This window comes from Homo sapiens, chromosome 3 (assembly GCF_000001405.40).
Source record: "Homo sapiens chromosome 3, GRCh38.p14 Primary Assembly".
NCBI classification, from domain to species: Eukaryota; Metazoa; Chordata; class Mammalia; order Primates; family Hominidae; genus Homo; species Homo sapiens.
The window spans coordinates 170708659-170734037 of record NC_000003.12 but is presented as its reverse complement, the minus strand read 5'-3'; the positions used below and the strand labels follow the sequence as shown (position 1 = coordinate 170734037).

The 25379-nt window shown below is 39.3% G+C and overlaps 2 long non-coding RNA genes across 3 annotated transcripts in view, besides 1 other annotated feature; one reads left to right on the top strand and one right to left on the bottom strand.

Annotated features, from left to right (window-relative positions):
* SLC7A14-AS1 (SLC7A14 antisense RNA 1) overlaps positions 1–25379 on the bottom strand; it is a 287921-nt gene that overhangs the window by 21168 nt on the left and 241374 nt on the right. The window contains exons 4-5 of the long non-coding RNA NR_135556.1: positions 8419–8478; positions 4343–4682 (exon numbers count right to left, since the gene is read on the bottom strand). This is a non-coding gene — a long non-coding RNA (SLC7A14 antisense RNA 1). The remainder of the gene's footprint in view (positions 1–4342; positions 4683–8418; positions 8479–25379) is intronic.
* On the top strand, positions 88–25265 carry LOC124906302 (uncharacterized). Of its 2 annotated transcripts, XR_007096159.1 has the most exons (3): positions 88–355; positions 19971–20135; positions 23664–23768. It is a non-coding gene; the product is annotated as an uncharacterized LOC124906302 (long non-coding RNA). The 2 variants fall into 2 exon arrangements; XR_007096158.1 differs by lacking the exons at positions 88–355; positions 23664–23768 and adding an exon at positions 25155–25265 and having other exon boundaries at positions 19649–20135.
* Positions 3544–3838: a silencer, noted in NCBI's record as "tiled region #4779; HepG2 Repressive non-DNase unmatched - State 24:Quies". NCBI's record gives its function as "represses a minimal TATA promoter and a strong SV40 promoter by Sharpr-MPRA in HepG2 cells {active_cell/tissue: HepG2}" and the evidence as "EXISTENCE:reporter gene assay evidence [ECO:0000049][PMID:27701403]".

Below are 25379 nucleotides of genomic sequence, written 5' to 3'. Positions count from 1 at the left end.
AAGTGTTTAAGAGATGCAAATGCCCTTCCCCCCTTCCCTATCCTGCTTTCTTTTGCTGTCAGAGTCTCTATTTTTACTTCTATTTTTTCCCCCAGATTTCAATGCAGCAAACCCTGTGAAAACCTAATCAAACTTTTTATTAAATATGAAGATTCAGAGCAGAATGGAGCTGAATGGATGCTGGGCAGAGGGTCAGTTTTACTTTAGTAGAGCATCTTTTTGATGTGCTGGTAAAGACACGACATTTATCAAAGAATAATTTTCCCAAAAAGGGGCAAAATCATGACTCTCATAGAGATAAAATGAACATGTGCTAAAGATTTTATTCGACTCATTGATTAAGTGACTGAACCAGGTAAATATTATAACTGCTTAAAGGAGAAGTGAAAGAAGCAAAAATATATACTCCAGTTTTATGGCAGTATATATTTTTATATTATTTTATTGAATAAAGGAATATGAAAATGAATGTGAAAATGAATGCAAAACTGACTTTTTCTTGGAGTGAGGAAGAGGTTGTCCCTTCCTCGGACTTAATTTATTTACTTATCTATAAACAAGAATTATTTTGTGTTGCTATCAGTTATGTACAACTTATAGTCCGAAATAGTGCCCATGGAATTAGAAGTAGACAACCCCAGATAAGTGTGCTTTAGAAAAGGCACAGTTTTTTACTGAAGTATACATTTTTTTCCTTATACATTTAGACTAAATGCTCCTGGTGTGGAAACTCACTCACTAACTTCTCCCATGGGTGGCCTGGACTACCTCAGAGAAAGTGGATTACAATGAGCATCTTAAATATATAACAATCCAGGCTGAATTAATAATAATTTAGCTTCAGTAGTATACAAAAACTCTGCTCCTAATCAGCCCCATCCTCCTTATGTTGTTATTATCACATATTACATTTTTGTACAATGTGTCAAGAAGGAAACTTGGGTCTAATTGCAGTTTGCCTTCCAATTGCCACACAAATAACTCAAATTGGAACTTGACCCTATCTAATTTTCATGAAAGGGCATTAAACTGTGTCTCATGATGAGTTAAAAAAAAAAAAAAAAAAAGACAAGTCTGGATTTGGCAGTTGTAGAAAGATTTAGGAAGCCCATGACCTAGTTCCAGCTTTCTGGCCAAAGGGGTGTGTAATCTCTGAGCCTCACTTTTCTTATCTCCAAGATGGAGAAAGGGCAGACAGATAGCCTCAAAAGTTCCTTTTCATTCTCAGTTCCTGTGATTCTACTTATCATATCAATAGGATGTTTTCTGTTTTATATTACTGTGTGGGTTAATTTTATTTGTCAACTTGGCTGGGCCATGGTGCCCAGGTGTTTGGTCAAATATTGTTCTGGATGTTTCTGTGAATATAATTTTTGGATGATATTAACATTTAAATCAGTGGATTTTGAATAAATCAGATTACCATCCATAATGTGAGCGGGCCTTATTGAATTAATTGAAGGCCTTAACAGAACAAAGACTAACCTCTCCTGAGCAAGGAGGAATTCTGCCAGAAGACTGCCTTTGAACTTGAACCATAACTTTCCCGAGTCTCCAGCCCACTGGCTTAGCAAATCAGATTTTGGATTTGCCAACCCTCCACAGTACATAATGTGAGCCCGTTCCTTACAATGGATTACACACACATACACACACATGCATATTCTGTTGGTTCTGTTTCTCTGGAGAACCCTGACGAATACAATTGTTGTTTCAACAACAGAGAGTTGTTGAAAATAGATTCCTCTACGCTCTTCTGAAATCTGACAAAACCCATGATCTTCTGCCCATCTGAAGAGAAGAACAAAATTTTGCATATGATGTCTATTCAAAGGACCTTTCAGACTTCTTTGATAAAATCCAATATATTCATTGAGTAGGAAAAAGAAAAGAGCATTCTTGAAAGTGATAGCTTGATTCTCTGATCTATGACCTCTCATTTTTTGACACCAATTGAAGGGGACTGACCCAGAGGATCATGAGCCTATAATTTCCTTCCCAACTTCTCAGTGAAGTCTGGCATTCCTAGGAGCTAAAAAGGTAGGGTTATTAACCTTAGTTTTCACTACCATGATCCTTGATCTTTCTCTTATCCCATCTGAGACAGGATGGAGATTATTAAGTTTGAAAGCATCCATTTGACTTATAGATTTATTAAGGCCCAGGGGTAACCGGATGGGATGAAACTGAGGAAGCAGATTGGGAATCAAGTGGCCCATTCCATACTGGCAACACATCAAGATCATTTAAGTAATGATACTAAGTGCATCAATGATTTATTATGGAGCAAGAAATTTCCCAGCACTGCTCTTTTAAGTATAAGGCATGTCATGATGATATTGAGCTCCTGCAACGTGCTAGACTCTATTCAATATCATACAACATTCTTGTATCTGTTCTTATCTTTTTTTGTCTCTTTTTCTTGTTTAAACAAATACAATTAAAGGGATAGTAGAATCAAGTGGCTCACTAAAGACCACAAAGCTGGTAAGGAGCAGAGACAAAAATCTAAGCCAGATTTGCTGACTGTAAGGTTCCCTGTCTTTCCACTGCATCACAGCTCTGCTCCTGTGGCCTACCCTCTCTGCTCCCCTCCTACTGTGTGGCCATAAACAAGAGCTTCACACAGAATGCCAAATGAGAGATGATGCTGCAGGGAAAATGAAGGAAAAGAAACAGCACTTCTTAAAGCAGCTATCATTGGCAAGGGAAGCAGTGTTCCTGTGAAAACATGGTATCCAAAATGCTTTTATTGGTGGGAAGGTAGGAATCTCACACACAGACACACACACACAATGGGTAGGGTCTATATTGCAGAACCAAGAGGATAATCTTCACGACTGTTGTGACTGAAGAAGAGTGCTAACAGATTTCTCCACATGGTTTGCTGCATATGCCTGCTATAGAAAAGACTTATAATTTCACACTAAGGGTAAGCTTGATGGTGAATATGTACATTTTTAGTAATTCGATTGAGTTTATTAAACATGTATTATGGTCAAGACTCTGACCCCAAAGAGGCTGGAGAGGGGCCCCAGGAAAAGGAATCCCTAGTCTCTGCCCTTCATAGCTTTTTTTTTTTTTTTTTAAGATGGAGACTTGTTCTGTCGCCCAGGCTGGAATGCAGTGGTGCAATTTCAGCTTGCTGCAACCTCCAGCTCCTGGGTTTAAGCAATTCTCCTGTCTCAGCCTCCAGAGTAGCTGGGATTATGGGCCCCTGCCACAGTCACCACCCGGCTAATTGTTTTGTATTTTTAGTGATATGGGGTTTCACCATGTTCACCAGGCTGGTTTTGAACTCCTGACCTCAAGTGATCCACCCGCCTTGGCCTCCCAACCTTCAGTAGCTTTTTATCCAGACTTACCAATAAAGAACTTACCAAGGAAGTTACCAGACTGACCAAGTAAGATTGAATTAGAGCTGGATGTACAGCCAGTCTGCCCCATTTGCTCCAAAGGAGGAGTGCTTAATTTCAACTGGAGAGTTGGGAAAGGCTTTATAAAGTAGGCAGAATGTGAACTGGACCTTGCAGGCAGAGAGCCACTCTGTTTGGCAGAAAATGAAGGGAATTTCATTTCCAGCATAGGAAACAGACATGAAAGTGTGGCATCATGTGTTTAGGGAGAAAGGAGACCATTCAATGTGGCCAGAGCACAGACAAGATAAGGAATGGTGGGAGACGAGGCCAGCTGTGTTTTACGCTAAGATAAGGAGTGTGCTGTAGATTTTTATTATGCTTCCCAGTGCTTCACTTTTCCTTCCTGTGAGAGAATTACACATCTCCAGTCATTGCCATTGGACTGTTAGTGCCCACCATGAGAGGAGTACACATTTCTGCCCCACTGACATGGGACTCACTCATGTGACCTGTGAACAGATGCCTTCAGGCCACTCCCTGTTGACAACAGCTCTCTAGCTTTTTTCCCTTTGCCACCAGAATGGCTTATTCCATAGAGGAGCTGCTCCTCCAGCTGAGTTCTGGAATGAATGTTATCCATGGAGCAGCCCCACAGTTGACCCCACAATGACCTATAACTAACATGTAACGTGATAAAAAGTAAACCTTTGTTGTAAGTAACCGAAATTTTAGGGTTGTTTGTTGCCCCCAGCAAAGTTGACTAATAAATGTTTTTTACTTTATTATCAAAAGCAATGGATTTTGTAAAAAAAAAAAAAAAGAGAGAAGAAAAAAAAATTTTTTCCTTCTCTCCTTTCTGGCAGTCTCATGAATTTCAGTGCCGAACAAAACTTCATTTTAAATTTCCAACTGTGCTCAGATTCAATTGCTTTTTCCATATCAGGCATTCTGGAGGAATAGAATAACAATTAATTTATACTCACTTTTTGTAGCCACTGGATCAGATTCACCTGGAATTCATGTAAATCTAATAAATAGCACAGTGGGCGTCCAGTGCTTTGTAGCTGATGGCAGCAGATACATCACTTCCTTCCAATTGTTGAGGATATATAGCCAATTTGCCAGATAGGAATAAAGATTTCAATTTAAACACAAAGTTTATTTTTCAGAGATGGAATATTCCATTCAGGCTCAGCAAAGAAATAAGTAGACAGATGTTTCATGCTGAGGGGAACACCAGGGAAATGGCTTGGTCATGCTGGCCATGATGCTGAAAGCTCGTGCTGCCACCAATTTAAGTAAGTTCAAGGAGGCTTAACCTTCCTGGGGTTGATGAGAAAAAATTGAGAATACATTTTGTTATTATTTATATTATTTATGTATCACTGAGTTGAGCACTACCAAAGGTCACCATTCAGGTAGTATGGGAGGGAGCATGCCAGGTGGAGAGTACAGAGACTTAAATAGTATTAGGAATGGTGATGATAATGATGATAAGATATAAAAAGAGAAAGAAAATGGGCCTGGAGTCAGCTAAAACTCAATTACAAGAATGGCTTACAACTTACTAACTAAAGGTTTTATGGGAAAGCTGCTTTTAAAAAAATCTCTAAAACATAGTTTCCTCATTTCTCACATGGAAATAATAATACCTCTCTATTATAGTCATTATGAGGATAATATGAGATAATGAATGTAAAGTATTTGACATGTAGTAAGTGCTCAATAAATGTTGTTGGAGTTCTTTTTCTTCAGCTTTTTAACATCCTCCCTCACATGAATGCTTTTTCCTAACCCTGTTCAAAAGCCCATTCATCCTATAGTGCCTGGACTTACCAGCTCATCAAAGCCTTCTCTGACTCCAGTCTGTGATACTCTACCTTCTCTGAAACAGCAGTAATGGCCATAGGTGTTCATTATTTTGAATTCATTCACTCATTAATTCATTCATTCACCAAATATTTCCTGAGTACCTACTCTGTACCAGGCACTATTCAAGGTTCTGGAAATACAGCCGTGAACACAATATCCTTTCTCACCAAGCTTACGGTATAGTGAGGAGAGAGGGGAATAAACAAATAACAAGATGTAGCAAATCAAATAATGATTAAGTACGATGAAGAAAAATAAAATAGGGCAAGAAGAAAAGGGAGCGCCAGGGTGGGAGAGATAGGATTTCGTGTCAAGGCAGAGGGTCAAGAAAGGCCTCACTGAGGGGACACTGGAGTAGAAGGAGTGAGCCATGGGGAACCTGTGTGATAAAATCTCAGGGTAAAGGATCTAACCCATGCAAAGGCCCTGAGGCAAGCCTGACATGTTCTAGGAAGGACACCAGTGTGGCTGAGCAGAGTGAGCCAGAGAGGGAGTGGTGGGAGATGAAGACAGAAAGGTAGGATCCAGCAGGTGATGAAGAGGATTTTGATTTTTAAACTGAGAGAGTCAGGAAGCCATGGGAGGGTTTTGAGGAAAAAAGTCACATTATTTTACTTAGATTTTTAAAAAAAAAAAAAAAAGGTTCACTCCATCTGCTGGGTTGAAAATAGACTTCAGAGGAATAAGGAGAGAAGGAAAAACAAAGTTAAGGGATTTTTGCAATAAGAAGTGAGAGATAATGGCAGCTTAGAAGAGATAGTAGTAATGGAGGTGTTGGAAAGTGGTCAGAGTTTGGTTATATTTTGAAGAAGGAATTTCAAAAAAATTATCTGATGTGGTGCGACAAGAAAGAAAGGAGTCAAGGATGACTCCAAGGATTTTTGTCTGAACAACTGAGAAGATTCAGAAGATAGGAGTAGGAGGAGTTTTTGAGTAGGGGGAGAATCTTGTGTTCATTTTGGCATCTGTTGACTTTGAGATGTCTGTTAGATAGCCAAGTGGAGACTGAGTAGGCAGCCGGACATGAGTCTGGTCTTCAAGGGGCGAAATCTAGGCTTGAAATATGAATTCGGGGATGAAATAAGTAAATAAAATTTAAAGCTATGATCCTGGAGAAATCAGTGAAAGAGTGATTCCTGGGGCACTCCAGTGGGCAGGGCTTGGGAAGATAAGGAGGACAAGGAAAAGATACTGAGATGGAGCAACCAGTGAGGAGAAATGAGGGTGATGCCTCAGAAGCCAAGCAAAGAAAGCATTTGAAGAAGGAAGTAAGCAATGGTGTAAAATGCTGCCAATAAATTCAATAAGATAAAGACTGAGAATTGGCTATTGGATTTGATCATGTGGAGGTCACTGGAGATATTGATAAAAGCAGTTTTCAGGGAGCAATTTTGAGAGTGAAAGATTATAAGGAGAGGAATTGGAAGTAGTGGGCTTAAAAGTCTTGTTCAAGGAGATTTGCCGTAAAGGGAGCAGTAACTACAGGGAAAGTTGGGTCAAGGAAGGTTTTCTCTGTGAGACGGGTGGTGATTCAGCATGTTTCTATGCTGCTGGCAGTGACTCAATAGAAAAAGAAATATTCTTGAGCAGGAAAGAGAACAGATAATTGCTGGAAATAAGTTTGTGGATAGGAAAAAAGGATGGGATCAAGTGCACAGTGTAAAATTTGGCTTCAGATAGAAACCCAAACAGATCATCCACAACATCAGGAAAGAAGGCAGGACATAGATGGACAGACAGTCAGTTGGGAGAAGTGGGAGTTGGGAGAATAGGGAAGGTCTCTTTTGAGAGCTTCTATCTCCACCAACCCTACCCACACCCTCCTCCACCACCACCACAAGCCAGTGAATTAGGAAAAGGTAAAAAGTTGGAGGAGGTGCTGGAGATTTGAAGAGAGACAAGAAAAGGTACAGTGGTTATAGGAAAGTAGAGGATTGAATGGACTGATCAGGACAATGACGAAACCTTGCCAGCAGCTGTATGGGCCCACTGTGGTTATTAGTCATGAGTTTAAAATGAGATTTGTCAGTGTGGTTGTGGGGATTTTCTCCAGCCACAATCAGCTGTGGGGGTGCAGGGTGTAGAAGAGGAGGGAAACTGGATTTAACCAGGGTTTTACCAAGCAGACGTGATGAATGAAAGGAAGGAAAAGGTACTGGAGGGTGAATGAGTGAGCAGTTTTTAATAATGGACCATAGAATGTAAGCTGAGTCTAGAGGGAACTGAAGATTTTATGGGAGTGAGGGATGGTGAATGGATGGAGCATAGGTCCTAGTGAGGATGAAGAATTTTTGGAGTTGGAGTATCGAGGAATGGCATGGAAAGAAGAGATCAGTAGGTCTAAGAGTGGATGCATGAAATGACCAAGTCTGGGGTATAATTATCGGGTAAGTGACTGAGGCGAAGCAGAGGATAAGATCATTAATCATCATTACCTGGGTCTTATGTCCCCAGTAAGTACTTAGAGGAGAAGAACCATATCTTAAAAGTCTGTACCTTTCTCCTCAAGCATCTAGCACAGTGCAATGGGTTTCACAAGGGCTTTGTTAATTTTTGAGACAGAGTCTCCCTCTGTTGCCCAGGCTGGAGTGCCCTGGTGCAATCTTGGCTCACTTCAAGCTCCGCCTCCTGGGTTCATGCCATTCTCCTGCCTCAGCCTCCCAAGTAGCTGGGACTACAGCCACCCACCACTACACCCGGCTAATTTTTTTGTATGTATTTATTTATTTTTAATAGAGACAGGGTTTCACTGTGTTAACCAGGATGATCTCGATCTCCTGACCTCGTGATCAGCCCACCTCAGCCTCCCAAAGTGCTGGGATTACAGGCGTGAGCCACCGCGCCTGGCCTGGGCTTTGTTCATTTTTATAAGTTGATATTGAATGAAAAGTTTAACATCAACTTATAAACATTGAGGAATTTTAAAAATTGGGACAATGAGACTCAAATTTTCTACTACAAACTACTATTTTCTGCATCACCCCGTCACCCAAATTATTGCCAAGCTTTCGGGATCAACTAAAGGGGATTCCTGGCCTTACAGATATTAAAGTAATGATTTCAATTATTCAAAGCCAACCACAGAGTTCCATGGCAGGAGGTCATTTGTAACTTGTGAAAGCATGAACTTGGACTTCATGGCTTTAAGCCTTAGCTGGTGAGTAAGACTAGCCAATCAGCTACTTACCCTCTGTATCTCAGTGTGGCCATGTTATTTTACAGTTATTATCAGATCTGCAGACACTCTCTAAAGAGAAGAAAACATTATATGTAAAATTGCCTGAAAATCAAAGTGGTACTTTCATTAGGGCATCCATAGAGGGCTCTGCATAGAAACCTCAAAACGTAAAAACAACCAAATTTCACAACCGGTTTATTTAAATGGGCTCATTGCTTTAATCTGTATTTCAACATGTTGCTAAATACTCAGGCCAAAAAGTACTAAGCACTTGGAAGGGGTGGAGGTTGGGGGGAATTATCTTCAGCTCATTAGTGGCAAGCTCAGGGAAACAACAGAAAAAAATCTTTTGGGGTCATGGGCTGGGAGAATGAAAATAAACCAAGGTTTTTAAAATAAATAAATACTATCTTGTCAAATAAAACATACAGCCATAACTTGCAGGGGAGGAATAATTGGAAGGCTGAGGCTTATAGTAATCAATCAAACCTGATCACACAGCAGCTTTGGCAAGGAAGAGAAATAGGGGCTTTAGTTAATGTCTTGGCAAGAGCCTGCTTCCTTTCCACTTGACCTGGCCAGAGAGACAAGGTGTCCAGAGGTGTCAGACATAATGTTAGCTACCACCCCCACCCCCATGTGGTCCCTCGCAGTCCACAAATCTTGCTGACTGAGTTCTCATAACCATCCTATGTGGTAAGTATTAGTGTCTCATTTTGAGGATGTAAGTGGAGGCTGAGGGACCAGGCAATCTGCTTAAGAACATCCAGCTTGTATGTGGCAAAGTAGTGATTCAAACCACATCTTCTGGGTCCAGGCCAAGCTGTTTTCACACTCCAGCCAGCCCTGTGTCCATGAGTGTCTAACCTAAGGAGTATTTGTCCTAGTTTATTTAGGGTGCATTTCAATCAGGATTACCATTTGGGAGGGAAGCACATGCCAGCATGAGTTGCTCAGCCTAGCATTCAAGAGGACTGAGTCTTCCTTCATGATGTCTCATGTATGTTTCTTCCCCTTTTTCTTCTCACTGCCCTTCTTTACCTCATGCTGGGATATTGTGTCTAAGCTGAACATTCTGCCACTTTCACTTCTTTCCTCCAAACCAGTTCTTGTATTAATATAGACTAATTTTCCTAAGATACCAGCTTCATTACTTATTTTAAAATGTTTGCTGGCTGCTGTTCTCAGGATCAGGTATAAACTCCTTAGCTTGGTGTTCAACTCCTCTGCAATTTGGTCCCTAGTTATTTTGTAATTTTATGTCCCCCTTTCTGCCCTTTGACAGCCCAGAATGAGCATATTTCCCAATCCGAACCCTCATGTCCTGTGTTCACTTTGAATGCAGTGCCCTCGTCTCTCTTCTACACCTATATTTTCTACTTTTACTCTTTCAAAGCTAAGGTCCATTCTTACCACCTCATGGCCTTCCCCCAACATTTCAGCATATGGTGATTCTTCCAGGGCTAGTATGTTCTGTTTATCCCTCCAGGTCTGCTCTCCATCCTCTCCTCCCCGCTACCCAGGAAGCTGAGCAGCATCGACTGTCTCCCTCACTCCCCAAATACTGAACTCTCTCTCTGGTTTTCTACCACTCAACACCCACCTTTGTAAATAACTTTTTAAACAATTAAGCTCTCCTCAAATTACCCAATTTGAATCTGCCATCTGCTTCCTGCCAGGACTCTGACTGATATCTCTCCATTCCTCTGTATGTTCACAGGCCTTATTTATTGCTCTAAGTCTTCATGTACCATATCAAAGTCTGCTTTGAATTAATAGCTATTTTTCTCTGTGATTACATATTCCCAACCTGACTAAAGTTTCCTAAAGGCAAGGAATATGTATTACACTTTTATGTATGCTTCAATATTTTCCTCACCGCCTCCTACCCCAATAATACTTAGCACAATATACTAAGCAGTTAATAAGGACATTACAGGTCAATGTTCAAGGATAATGCTAAGAAGAGGGGGTGTGGGAATCAAACTAGAAAAACCTTCAAGTCTTCACCATTTTCTTTATTTCAAAAATGAATAAGGCTTAATTTTCTTATTTACTATTTGTAAAATGGGGATTAGGTACTTGCTCTTTCTACCTCACAGGAATGAAGAAAGAATTAAATCATGCAAAGCATGTAAAAGTAGTTTGCAAACTATAAAACATTGTGCTTTTTAAATGTAAATGATTATTACTTTTAGCAAGTTAATAGCTAACCAGCTATAAAGGCTAGTGTTTCAAATGATTGATGAGAGAGGCAAACTTCCAAAGGAATGAATGCACGATTAGGCCATGAAATTTGAAAAAGTAGTAAGGAAAACACTTGAAAGTTTAAAGAATTTTCAATGAACAAAGCATTTGGACATCTTCTATTATCTTGTGTTCCTATTTTAAAAACATTTAAATTGGTTAGAAAAAGCAGGCCAGTTTAAAGCCTTAACAAACACACACTTGAAAGCATCCAATTACAAGGATAATAGGTAATTGAGTGGTGGCGGGAATTGATGATTTACAAGTCTTGCTCAAAATTAAGCAAGTTCTTTTTTTGTGTTTTTTGTTTGTTTGTTTGAGACAGAGTCTCCCTCTGTCGCCCAGGCTGGAGTGCAGTGGCATGATTTCGGCTCACTGCAAGCTCTGCCTCCCAGGTTCACGCCATTCCCCTGCCTCAGCCCCGCCGAGTAGCTGGGACTACAGGAACCCGCCACCACGCCCGGCTAATTTTTTTGTATTTTTAGTAGAGGCGGGGTTTCTCTATGTTAGTCACGATGGTCTCGATCTCCTGACCTCGTGATCCACCTGCCTCCCAAAGTGCTGGGATTACAGGTGTGAGCCACCGCGCCCCGCCAAGCAAATTCTTATAATAACTCAAAGACATCTCCACTGGCCTCAGTTTACATACCTCCTGGCTAGTGGAAGACAGCTACATTGAATGCTACCAACTTTAAGGATCTGACAACAAACCTTCTGTACCTTAGAAATGGCTTCTAAAAGATCTGGAAAACAATTTTCCAGGAATTAAGGAAGCAACCAAAGTTATTGTAAAAGGTACACCTATTTTCCACAACATTGATGAAGAATTAAATAATCAATATAAAATACCTAGCTCAGTGCCTGATGCTGACATCATTCAGTGGGGGTAGCTCCCTTCTCCCTTATATTCAGATGCATATACATCATATATAATTATATTAAACATGCAGAGTTATAAATAAAAATTATACATAGGCTTAATTATAAATATATTGCATATGTTAAATGTATAGCAACATAATACAGATTGTGCTTTTGGAAACTTAACTGAGAACAAAATCTACATGCTTTTAATTATAGTAAATATGCCATGCATTAAGGAAAATTAACATTTCTCAAAATTCATATGCAAGAGAGTTGCTGCCTAAGACAATTTGCTGGAAAATGAATTGTGATCTGTACAGTGTCTTTGTGCTTGTTGTGAATTGCAGATATGGGAGTGTTCTGAGTATTTATTTTATGAACTTGTCCTAGGCATTATAATTACTTGTAAACTCAATCTCTATAGACCTTATAAAGAAGCTTTAAGAAAAAAGATCATTGAATCAGTTGACAAGAAATGAGAATTATAGATAACCAGCTAAAAGGTATCTTTATATTCTTGTAAACATCTCACGAATAATGGGAAATTGAGGAAGGCATCAGACTAAATCCATCTACAGGCTAGATTTGAGTGAATTAGGGTTTTTCAGGTTTCCTCCATCTCTTCTGCTTTTTCTTCCTGCTTTTCTTATTCCTCTGCTACTTTGTTTCTTAGGCTCTGCTTCCCTGCATTTGGGAACAGTTGCCAACCAGTAGAGCATTTCTGTTGGGCTGAGCTCTAGCACCAGGTCAGCACCAGCATAGACATGACTGACTTTTGGTTCAGGTGCTGCTCCAGGCTCTGCTCCAAGCAAATGTGGCCAGATATTTGGTATTATGTAATACCTGTGTCTGAGAAATTCTCAAAGTGGCCTGGAGACATGGTTAGCACCAGTGTAACTCACAGAATATAAGCACTCCAGGAAAATCATCTTTTTTAAAAATTATCTTTAATTTCACATTGCAGGTGCATATATCTATGGGGTACAAGAGATACTTTGATACAGGCATGCAATGCATAATAATCATGTCAGGGTAAATGGGCATCACCTCAAGCATATATCATTTGTAATACAAACAATCCAATGATACTCTTTTAGTTACTTTAAATAGAGATGGGGTCTCACTGTGTTGCCCGGACTGGTCTCAAACTCCTGAGTTCAAGCAATCCTCCTACTTTGGTCTCCCAAAGTGCTGGGATTACAGGTGTGAGCCACTGCACCTGGCAATACTCTTTTAGTTACTTGAAAATGTAAAATTAAACTGTTATTGATCGTAGTCACTATGTTGTGCTATCAAATATTAGGTCTTATTCATTCTTTCTAACTATATTTTTGTTTCCATTACCCATTCCGACTTCCCCTTCCCCTCACCCCGCCACTACTCTTCCCAGCCCCTGGTAACCATCATTCTATTCTCTGTTTCCATGAGTTCAATTTTTAAATTTTTAGCTCCCACAAATAAGTGAGAGCATGCAAATTTGTCTTTCTGTGCTTGGCTTATTTTACTTAACATAATGACCGCCAATTCCGTCCATGTTGTTACACGTGACAAGATCTCACTCATTTTTACAGCTGAATAGTACTCCATTGTTTATAAGTACCACATTTTCTTTAACTATTCATCTGTTGAGGGACACATAGGTTGCTTCCAAATCTTGGCTATTGTGAATAGTGCTGCAATAAACATAGGAGTGCACATATCTCTTTGATATATAGATTTCCTTTCTTCTGGGTATATACCTATCAGTGGGGTTGCTGGATTATATGGTAGCTCTATTTTTAGTTTTTTGAGGAACCTTCAAACTGTTCTCCATACTGGTTGTACTATTTACATTCCCACCAATTTCTCCAAATCCTCACCAGCATTTATTATTGCTTGTCTTTTGGATAAAAGCCATTTTAACTGTGGTGAGATGATATCTCATTGTAGTTTTGATTTGCATTTCTCTGATAATGATGTTGAGCACCTTTTCATATATCTGCTTTCCATTTGTATGTCTTCTTTTGAGAAATGTCTGTTCAGAACTTTGGCTCATTTTTTAACCAGATTATTAGATTTTTTCCTATAGAGTTGTTTGAGTTCCATATATATTGTGGTTATTAATCCCTTGCCAGATGGGTAGTTTGCAAATATCTTCTCCCCTTCTGTGGGTTGTCTCTTCACGTTGTTGTTTGCGTCCTTTGCTGTGCCGAAGCTCTTTAACTTGATGTGACCCCATTTGTCCATGTTTGCCTTGGTTGCCTGTGCTTGTGGGATATCGCTCAAGAAATCTTTGCCCAGTCCAATGTCTCAGAGAGTTTCCCTAATTTTTTCAGTTGTTCTATAGTCTCAGGTCTTAGATTTAAGTCTTTAATCCATTTTTATTTGACTTTTTATATGGAGAGAGGTAGGGGCCTAGTTTCATTCCTTTGTTTATGGATATCCAGTTTTCCCAAACCTATTTATTGAAGAGACTGTCCTTTCCTCAATGTATGTTCTTGGACCCTTTGTTGAACCCTTTGTTGAAAATGAGGTCACTGTAGGTGTGTGAATTTGTTTCTGGGTTCTCTATTCTGTTTCATTGGTCTATGTGTCTGTTTTTATGCCAGTGCCATGTTATTTTGGTTACTACAGCTCTGTAGTATAATTTTAAGTCAGGTAATGTGATTCCTCTAGTTATGCTATTTTTGCTCAGGAAAGCTTGGGCTATTCTGGGTGTTTTGTGGTTCCATATAAATTTTAGGATTGTTTTTTCTACTTCTGTTAAGAATGTCATTGGTATTTTCATAGGGATTTCACTGAATCTGTAGATTGCTTTGGGTAGTATGGACATTTTAACAATATTGATTCTTTCAATTCATGGACAAGGAATATCTTTCAATTTTTTTGTGTCCTCTTCAATTTCTTTCATCAATGTTTTCTAGTTTCCATTGTAGAGATCTTTCCAGGAAAATCATTTTGAGGTCACTTCTAAATCTAAGATTCTATGACTACCAATTCAGAATGAGATTCAATTAATATGTGTTGGATGACTATTGCATGCCAGCTGTTCCCACATATACAGTCTCATTTATTTCTTACAAAAAATACCACAGTACAGTTTTACCATAGTTTATTGACTCGGAGATGCCAGTAGTTATAAGCTGAATCATTATTTTATATGCCATTAAGACTGAAAAATATTCCCAATTAAATTTTGACACAATATTCTCTTATCACTTAGCTTTTTGTTGTGCTCATCTCAAAAGCACTCTCTTAAACTTATATAGACATAGCTTTTCATTACATATCATTTTGTGTGTACGCTGAAGGGAAAATACAGCAAAATAAATTAGTGAAGGTTTTCTGAAAACCTCTTCACTTTCAGAGTCTGACTCTTTTGAATTACTTTTCTGTTGAGTTGTCCAAAGATGCCCAGGTTCTTGCACTTGATATTGTCCTCTGGACCATCAAGTGCATTGGTGATTCTTCTGTTCTTTAAAGAAAATGTGGCATATATGCACCATGGAATACTATGCAGCCATGAAAAAGGATGAGTTCACGTCCTTTGCAGGGACATGGATGATGCTGGGAGATACATTTAATAAATAAAATTCATGCCATGTTCATAGATGGAATGCTAAATATTAAATATCCATTTTCCTGGAAAAAAAAAGGGGCTCCGCTATTGTCTCTGATAGTTTCTTTCATGCTGCTTATGCCTATTTTGCAAGTTTTGATGCTAGGACATTGTTTTTATCTTATTGTTGTGGAAAATTGTACACTCAAATTCCTCAAATTCTTCTTAAATGGTCAGAAGAGCTATAGGTCCAGTCATGCCTTCAGGAATAACAGTAAGTTCACACCTATGCAAGCAATAACAGCCATGTCACTACTGCCCTGTGACTATCCAAGACAGTAAGATGTTGCTAATTGCAAGATGTTAAAATGCCAAAAGCATATCTTAGAATCAACAATTTAGGTATTATTACCATAGATGAGGCTCAGGGACATTTTACCTGGTTCCCTGTGAAAGCGGTGGGAAGAGAATTAAGTTATTGAGTATCTACTTGTTTAAGTATCCCAGAAAGTTCATTTGTGTTATATCATTGAATGCTCAGGAAAACACTCTTTGAAATATGTGTTGCTTTACAGATGAGAAAGTTAAGATTAGAAGGTGAAATAATTTGCCCATAATCATAGATCATCAAATGGCAGAGCCAGAATTTAAACCCAGATCTGTCTTGTTCTCAGCTAGACCAGTCCATAAAGGTTGGAGTGGGATTAGAAGACTGGACAAGAAAGACAGCTAAGACTCAGAGAAAGCACTCTTTCACAGACCAGCACACTGCCAGTATTAAGGATACACATGAAAGAGTGGATGAAGTTCCTCGGTGTCTGAGGTTTGGTGGTTAATGGAATCAGCTTCCAGCCCACTGGCTCACTGCTTTTTATACCCTAGGCTAGAAATGGGGTCTCATCAGTTCTCAGAACTCTAGCACCCATCATATGGAGAAGTCACACTACACAAGTTAGTTATATTCTTCTCCATTCTGTTTCTTATCATTTCATCCAGCTTGCTGTAGATCTAACTATGACCTCCTGACTCAAATGACCTACTACTGAGCATAAAGCTTGTACTTTCTTTTTTGTTTGGTTTTTGTTGGTGTTGGCGTTGCTTTGTTTATTCGGTCCTAAAGTATTAAAAGGATGTCATTTTATAATGTGATCCCAAAGAAGTAACTTAAGTGAGCATTTTCTTTTCATTTTATTCAACATTTAGACAATAATGAACCAAGAAAATGTCTAGTATAAACCTGAAAAGAGCACAGCTGTTTTTGAGTGTTATACCTGAGGCTAAGATTTCTGCTGTGGGCAGAAGTGAATGGCTGGACATAAGATTTCATCATTACAGATTACATTGTTGCTCTGAGCTCCTTCAGCTCTTGGCAAGCAGCCCGGGGCTGTGTCTAAAATGAAAAGCCAAAGGGCGAGAAGTCAGTCCAAGATGGGGCTAGAGCTCTCCACGAATGGAAGTGTTTGATGAGTGCTCTGACTTCCCTTTTTGACACCCTTGTTCTACATCCTCTGTATTTTGACTCACTCCAGTTTGAAAACCTATTCTTTTGGGACACTTCACACAAAGGAACAACACTTCCCTTCAGTTCAGCAGACCAAGTTAATGCAACAGGTCCAGACAGAAGGTCTCTGGGACATGGGTGGGAGTTGGAATAAGTCTCCTTGATTTTCCCACAAGACCTTGATCTTTACATAAGACCATCTGAATGGGAACATCAGGACCCAAAGACTTTCACACAGGCAAACCAAAGTAGGGTGGCCAATGTTGTTGGAATGCCATGGTTGATAGTTGGGTCTCTAATGTCAGAGAGCTTGTATTAAACATATCTATAGGGAATGGGGTCTACCTAGCCTTGGTTCAAGGTTCAGTAATGGTGATTCTAGGTACAGGTCAGTAGGAATCGTTGGAGCACGTGTGTGTGTGTGTGTGTGTGTGTGTGTGTGTGTGTGTGTGTGTGTGTGTGAAAGAGAATGTGGAGTTCTGACTGAGAAGGTGCAGCACAGGAAGACCATGCTGAGAGGAAAACTAGAAGCTATAATTTGAGGTGGAAAATGTAAGCAGATATAGGTTATTGTGGAGCTTTCATAATCTTACTCCCTCATTCTTCATGTTTTATCTTCATAAACCCTTTTTACTTTTTCCTCATTGGCCAATTTATTCACTCAATAGATACTCATGGAGTTTCTATGATTCTGCATTCACTTTACTCAGGGAAAATGTTCATTCTCATTCAATTTCTTTATGGAAAAGAGAACTATTCTAAATATGCCTCCACATATCCCCTCTGGAGTGCACTATAGACTCTTTACTGCATCATCTCACTCTTCAAGGCATTTCCTTCTAGAAAGGCTCAATAAATGCTCAAATGCCTCCCACAAAGGAAGCCTGAGGCAAGATTTAGACCCACCATCCATCTGGAGGCACGCATTGTTATCTCTGTGCTGAAAATTCCAAATGAGGCATAACAGTCTGAGAGATTTGCCAGTTCTAAATCACTGATTTGCCCTTCCACTGGCATCCCGTTGTCCTTAAAATCATGGACAGGAGAAAAAGGTTTAAAAGAAGGGAGGGAGTCGTGAGTGGAGAAAAGAACAAAAAAGGGAAAGGAAGGGAAAGGATGGAGAGGGAAGAGAAAGAAAGAAAAGAAAATAGCCATTTCACTCTGCTGGTGGGAGGAGAATAATTCACTGAGTTACGAAAGCATCCTAATCCAGGGTCCACTTGTGTGTGTGTATGCACATGTGTGTGTTTGAACATGTGTGTGTGAAGACGAAAATGAGTACATGCAGTTTTTGTATTGCTTCAGAAATTTATTAAAATTTATCACATTTGATCCATGACCAAAGTGCTATTTATGTGCATTACAACTAAAGTATGACTACATTTAAATTACCAAATAAGCCGAGCTGAATAATCTCTACAACTGAAAATGAGATGCTCCCTCTTTCTTGGCTCTGACTTAGCATTCCTTGATTGAATTACTGATAGTTCTGTTTCAATTTAGACCAACTTCTTCTCTTCATCAAGGGTCAATTTTGGCTCAGAGACACCATGTATTTTCAACTTCTCTTCAGATTGAATGTTTTGGTGACTATACTAGTACTGATGGTAATTATCAGGCAGAGATAGGGTACAAAGTCATCCTGTATAATAATTAGCACTCTCTCCTCCAATTTGACTTTCAACCTTAGGGTCAGTCAGAGACTCTGCAAAGCTTTGCAGGGACAGATATATCACTGCTGTCTTGATATGGTTTGTCTGTGTCCCCACCCAAATCTCATCTTGAATTCCCACGAGTTGTGTGAGAGACCTGGTGGGAGGTAACTGAATCATGGGGGCAAGTCTTTCCTGTACTGTTCTCATGACAGTGAATAAGTCTCACAAGATCTGATGGTTTTATAAAGAGGAGTTCCCCTGCACAAGCTCTCTTTCTTTGCCTGCTGCCATCCATGTAAGACATGACTTGCTTTTCCTTTCTTTCCACCATGATTGTGAGGCCTCCCAAGCCACGTGGAACTGTAAGTCCATTAAACCTCTTTTCCTTTGTAAATTACCCAATCTTGGGTATGTCTTTATCAGCAGCATAAGAATGGACTAATACATGTCTCCATATCTATGAGTTGTGGCACCTGTTTCTCTCATTCTGAGTTTTCATAGACTCTTGTGCAAGAAATTCTGCTTGAAAGAATTCATTTTTGCATTCTTGATCATTCTATTATATTCATTGAAATTACTTGTCACATGAACATTATCAGTGAGTTACCACAAGCATTGCAGTTACTCGTGTGCAACTTTATTATACTTCCACAAGTTATAGCACTATGGAGGATAAGAACTTTGCCATTCTATTCATCTTTCTGTGCACTTAGTAGATACTCAGTGAATGTTGCAGAATCTATGAGGAGTTGTCATTTCTAAATGAATGCTCTTCTAGAATAAATAAGAATTTTCAGGTGTTGACAAATGGTATTCTCTTTGATATAAACCAGTTCCAAATTGCTGAGTAGTTTAGAATTTGTTTGATGTTGTCAGTTTGGGCACAGCATCATTATTTTCAGCAGTAAGTACCATTTTTAAGTGGTTATCTATCTGCCAAGCACTGTGTTTAACATATAATTTTTTTCTAATCTACTAAATAATCCTGGATATAAATTCTACCATTTTGATTTTAAAGATAAAGAAAGTGAAGCTTAGAAAGGTTAAGTAACCCGACCAAGATTGCATATATAAACAGTGAGTAATGTTGCTGGGATTCTTACCACAGTGGGTCTGCATTCATCTTCTACATCATCATACCTCTCATAACCCAACTATAAGGAAAAAAAACAGAAACTCCAAAGATTGTTTGAGATGTGTAACTTATGCAGTGGGTAGCTTTTCTGGAAGCAAAACTATTTTACCTTTATATAGCATTTTAGAATGTATTAAGTACTTATTCATATTATGACTTTATTTGATCTTCACCGAAACCTTATAAGATATTGTTTTTATTTTTATAGTCCAAAGAATTTATAGATAATCTTACTGGATCAGAAAGACTAGAAACCTGCCCCAGGACAGAAGTTGCAGAGCCAGAACTAATCACAGGATTTCTGTGGTTTCTACATGATTCAGCATCCCAAAGATAGCAAGGAATCCTAAAAGACTGAACAGAGAAGCAGTCAGCGGATGGGCTCTAGTCTAACACTGTGGAAACAGAATTGGAAGTCAAATACGTGCCAAAATGTAATGCTGATAGCATGTACATTCAAAGAACATATATAGCAACCACACTTCAGTGCTGATTGGGCAGGGTTTCCATAGCAATATGATTTATTTCCAGTAGAATTTTTCAACTGAAAAGAGTAAGCTTCCCCTCATTAAAAGAAATAAATAAAAAGTTCATCAATATTTATTTTTCCATTATACACAGATCATAATGCCTGGTTATGGCAAAAAGACCGCAATTCCCACCAGAGAGCAAAAAGGAAGTAAAGCTACCATTGTTGATCTGAAACTAAATGGATTCTTGTCCGTTGTGAGGAGCAGCAGCCTACAAAGCACACTGAATGCCAAATGTGTTGCACCAGGGCTACAGGTCTGGCTCCTTCATACCTGCACTGTACTATAATGCACAGATGTTTACACTGGTCTTCCTTAAGTAGAAAAAAAATTAAAGAGGAAGTGAACGATTTTCTTCTAGCTTTCTGTAGGGCTAAGGGAACACTTAGGCTTGAATGGGGCAGAGAAGTCAAGAACTAGAAGAAAACAACAATAATAAAAGTTAACATTTTTTGCATTCTTACTTTGTGCTGGACGCTATTCTAAGCTTCTCCTATGAATTATCTCAGTTACTGTCCCCAACAGCCCCATGAGGTAGGTATTACTACTCTCCCTGGTTTACAGATGTGCAAACCAATGCGCAAGAAGTATCCTGTCCAAGGGCACACATTTGGGGATTGGCAAAGCTAGGATTTAAGCTCTGGAATTTTGGCCCTCAAACCTGAACTTTTAACTCCTTGTCCACACAGGGAAGGAAATTAAAAAGAGAAACTTTCATGCTCAAGCTTCTACGTGTCCTATGTGACCAAACTTGAGATCTTAAGCTGCAGGTTCGCTGGGATTTCCATCATCCCAGGCTGGCTCTTCATCCACAGACTAGGGTGCTTGGAGAATGAAAAGAGACTCACAAGAAGCAAAGCCATGAAACTGATAAAGGCATCTGTTTTTCTAATGCTTTTTCATAAACATACTCATTCCTCTATAATTTCAAATATACAGCTTTCTCCAAAACTCCCTCTACAGCTCAAAGTCTGCTGAAGCCCAGATTTTGGTGAAGCTGCAATTTGATTAGCTGATAATAATTATTTCAAGTTCAAACCTCCGATTTGAACTTGAAATAATTTGCCATTCAGCAATTGTCGTATTTGGAGAAATAGGGTCTGATCCACATTCCTTTCAGCCAAGGAATGATGATATTGTACAATGGCTGCATTCCACACACCAGCTATCTTTGATGACCTTGCAGATAAAAATATCTTGATTAAAAACAAGTACTTTGGCAGCTACTTGATGAGAGCAAAAACCAGAAAAGTTTTTCTGTGAGCTGGAGTAAGAAGATAAATATTGGGGAAGCAGTTTTGCATAGCCATTAATAATGTCACTTCTTCAGGAGGGTCAAATCTCATTTCTACCATCTACCAGTAACCTTGAACAAGTTATGTAACCCCTCTAAGGCTCAGTTTGCTCCTTTATAAAATGGGGCAAATGGTACCACCCTCATAGTGTTATAGAAATTAAGTGAGATAATAAATATTTAGCAGTTAGAATGGTATCTGGCACACTATAAGCCTCGGCCCTGGCTTCCTTTACCTTTGCATGCCAATGATACTAAACTTTTTGAAGTTGTCCAGACATGCCATGTTATATAAGGCATCAGTGCCTTTCTACTCTGCCTGGAAGTCCTATCTCTTATATATTCTCTTGAAAAATACCCTTCATTCTTCAAGTTCAGCTGAAGTTACTCATGTCTCACCCAGGCAGTCTTCCATATCTCTTCTATCCTTCCACTGTTTCTAGTAATCCACTTCATAATGCTTATTTAAACTGCAATGATTTGCCAGAATATCTTTCTCTTCATTCAACTATTTGAGTATATATTAATCCCCAGTGCCCAGCACAGAGCCTGGCACATGATGGGCACTCAATAAGTAGTTGTATTCAACAACTACTTATTGTAGTCAACAAATACTGAATTTCGGTATGAAATCCAGTCATATTCAACAAATTAAAATGATAAAATCTTCAGGAGGTAGTAACAATCTAATATCAATCAGAAGGGCTCTAACCATGAAATCTAAAGTACATTCCCACTTTGGTTTTAACTGAACCCCAAAGCTTTAGAAACTATAGTCCCATTAGACCCAGAAGAGATTATAGATAATTTTGTAATGAGGCCAGTGAAGCAGTTACAATGGCATCTGGCACACTGTAAGCCTCAGCCCCTGCTTCCTTTGCCTTTTGCATACCAGTGATACTGAACTTTTTCTCAGCCTGAAAAAGAGGCTGAGATCTTGACCCAACTTCCACAAGAGAAATTCCACAGAATTCAAATTCTTATTTCATGTCCAAATCAGCACATAGTAATTGATTTTTTTGCCATCTAGTAAGTTTTACAAATAATAATGGACCAGGGGACACTGATATATAAAAACACATTGTCTTAGTCCATTTTGCATTGCTATAAAGGAATGCCTCATACTGGGTAATTTATAAGGAAAAAAAAGCTCATAATTGAGATGATTTGGTTCATAATTCTTATGTCTGGAAAAGTTAAAGATTAGGCATCTGATGAGAGCCTCAGGCTGCTTCCATTCATGGCAGAAGGTAAAGGGGAGCCAGCTTGCGCAGACATCACATTCTGAGAGAGGAAGCAAGAGAGAGAGGAGAGGTGCCAGGCTCTTTTTAACAACCAGCTCCCTTGGGAACTAATAGAGAACTTACTCCTCACCCTAACCTCCACCTCCACCCTCAGGGAAGGTGTTAATCTATTCATGAGTGATCTGACCCCATGACCCAAACTCCTCCCATTAGACCCCATCTCCAATATTGGGGATCAAATTTCAACATGAGATTTGGAGAGGACAAACATCCAAACTGTAGTACACATCAAGAATAACTAGAGTATTTTTTTTTTCACGCTAAACTAAGGATCTATGGAAATAGTGATATCCCTTTTATTGTTCCAAAGGGACATCCAGTTGTTGAGCAGCTTCACTATAATGGAAACAGAGCTAAGACCTAAGTCTGGAAACTAGCCCATCCACACAATTCATAGCTCCCCAGGCCTAGACTACTGTAGCAGGGAGGATGAGAGCATATTGAAAAGGACAGAATATTTCCACTTTTCCTGAATGAGATCTGAGAGAATATGCACTAAACAAATACCTTATAAAGTCACACTGTAGAACACCCCCTCCACACCCCAACCCCATGTAGCCTGTTGACCAGACTATATAAAGCTGTATCAGCTCATAACCAATGGAGAGAGCCAAAATCATAAGTATCAGGCAAAGGCCCCAGAGCAGAGGGAAAAGCAAGGCTTTTTCTCAGGCAGACTCCATGAGAAAAGCCAGATTATACAGGGTGTCTGCAGGCTTGGGGGGGACGTATGAGGTCCCACAAAATTACTTTACAGACTAAAATTGCTTTTGTGTACATCCATCTACAATGTCATGGTCAGAAGGAATATGTGTGTGTATACACATAAAAACACATACCATATTTTCCTCAAGATACAAGACAATCTGATACTTAAAAAAAATCAATCTGATACTTAAAAAAATCAATAGGATGGCAAAAGTGTGTCCAGCTGGAGTCCACAAAATCCAATTTACATTTCTCATCATTTTTCCATGTGGCTGTTTTCAGGTTTCCATAGGAGGACAATGGGTATTCCCTACTCTGATATTTCCTTCCATGTGGTGGGTGTTCAGTGAGAGTGATGCTCTACTGTCTATCTGCTCCTTTAATGGTTCCTGTCCAATAAGAGTGACTGATCTTATTGGTGAGTTTAGGAAAGGAACTAGGCAAAAGTAGCTCAGTCTTTTCTCTCTCCTTCCTCTAGGGAGTCGACTGCTCACAGAAAGCAAGCATTCTGTTCTAATTCTGTGCTGTAAGCTTTGCAATAAGAGGCTCCATATGAGAAGGCTGGTGGTTGCCCAGCTGGGCTTATGACAGGTGGGTCTGTCTGATTCTGGGTGCAGAATAGGAAGTTAATTCTTCCTGCACCTAAATCACATTCACCAACCTAATCTATACCATCAAAAAAGCTGATATGTTGGACACCAGCTGCCTGATTGGTTCAATTTTGAACCAATTGGTTCAAAACTAGATAGAAGAAAAGGAGTACATGGGCATACTTCAAAAATATTGTGGGTTTGGTTCCAGATCACCACAACAATGTGAAATCTTTTTTTCTCTCAGCAGTAGATCTCAACAATAGGCTTAAAATATTCAGTAAACTGTGCTACAAAGAGATATGCTGTCATTCAGACTTTGTTTTCCCATTTATGAAGCATAGGCAGAGTCGATTTAGCATAAACATTAAGAGCTTTAGATGTTTGGAATGGTAAAAGAGCATTGGCTTCAACTTAAGGTCACCAGCTGCTTTAGCCCCTAGCAAGAGTCAGCCTGTCCTTTGAAGCTTTGAAGCCAGGCATTGACTTATCTTCTCTAGATGTGAAAGTCTTCTTCCAATAGAAGACTGTTACGTCTCCATTGAAAATCTGTTGTTTTGTGTAGCCACCTTGATCAATTATCTTAGGTAGTTCTTCTGGACAACTCGCTGCAGCTTCTACATGAGCACTTGCTGCTTCACCTTGCACTTTTATGTTATGGAGATGGCTCCTTTCCTTAAACCTTATGAACCAACATATGCTAGCTTTGAACTTTTCTTATATAGCTTCCTCACCTCTCTCATCCTTGATAGAATTGAAGAGAGTTAAGGCTTTGCTCTGGATCAAGCTTTGGCTTAATGGAATGCTTACTGGGGAGTTGAACAGAGGAGGCTTCCAGGGGGAATAGCGTGAATGTGTGATCTACTGGGCTTCATGGCTGCAGGGTGATATCACCATGGCTCATGGATAGAGGGGAAGGAGCCCAGATGGATGAGCCAAAATGACTCCACCAGGCTGGGTCACAGGGTGACACATTAGCCTGGGTTCCAGGCTAGATGAAGACCTCATAGACTTCATAGAGACACTCCAGATGCACAGGCTAAGGGGGAAGTTTGGAAAGGAAAGGCTCTGACAGAGCAAACAGATGGTATTGAGAAATCTTCTCAAAAGAACTTTGCATCATCCTCTGCTTTGGTTTTGCAGATGTGATTACATCAACTCCCAAGGATGAGAGAATTTGCTACAGATCAACAAGCATTTTCAAACAATAAAAATTGTATAGTATGTATCTCACCAATTTTAAGGTGATGAGTGAGCCTGGCAAATTCCAATTTTCATTATGAGAAAGACTAAATAGAATGTATTATTTTTGTATGCATGCTTTCATATCTAAAGATTTAGGGTTTTACATAACATTGTATGTTTTTTTCCATTTTCAGACACACCCAGATGTTTTTAATCTATGCAAAATAATGATGGATACTTGCTACCTTCTTCAACTAATTTTCAAGATGTATTTATATAAAATAAAAGAGTCTTTTAAAGCACAACTTTTTTCAAATGTATTTGTTACTGCACCTTTTGCCCTGGAAAATTATTTTTCTATTTTTATTTTTATTTTTTGAGACAGGGTCTCACTCTGTCACCCAGGTTGGAGTGCAGTG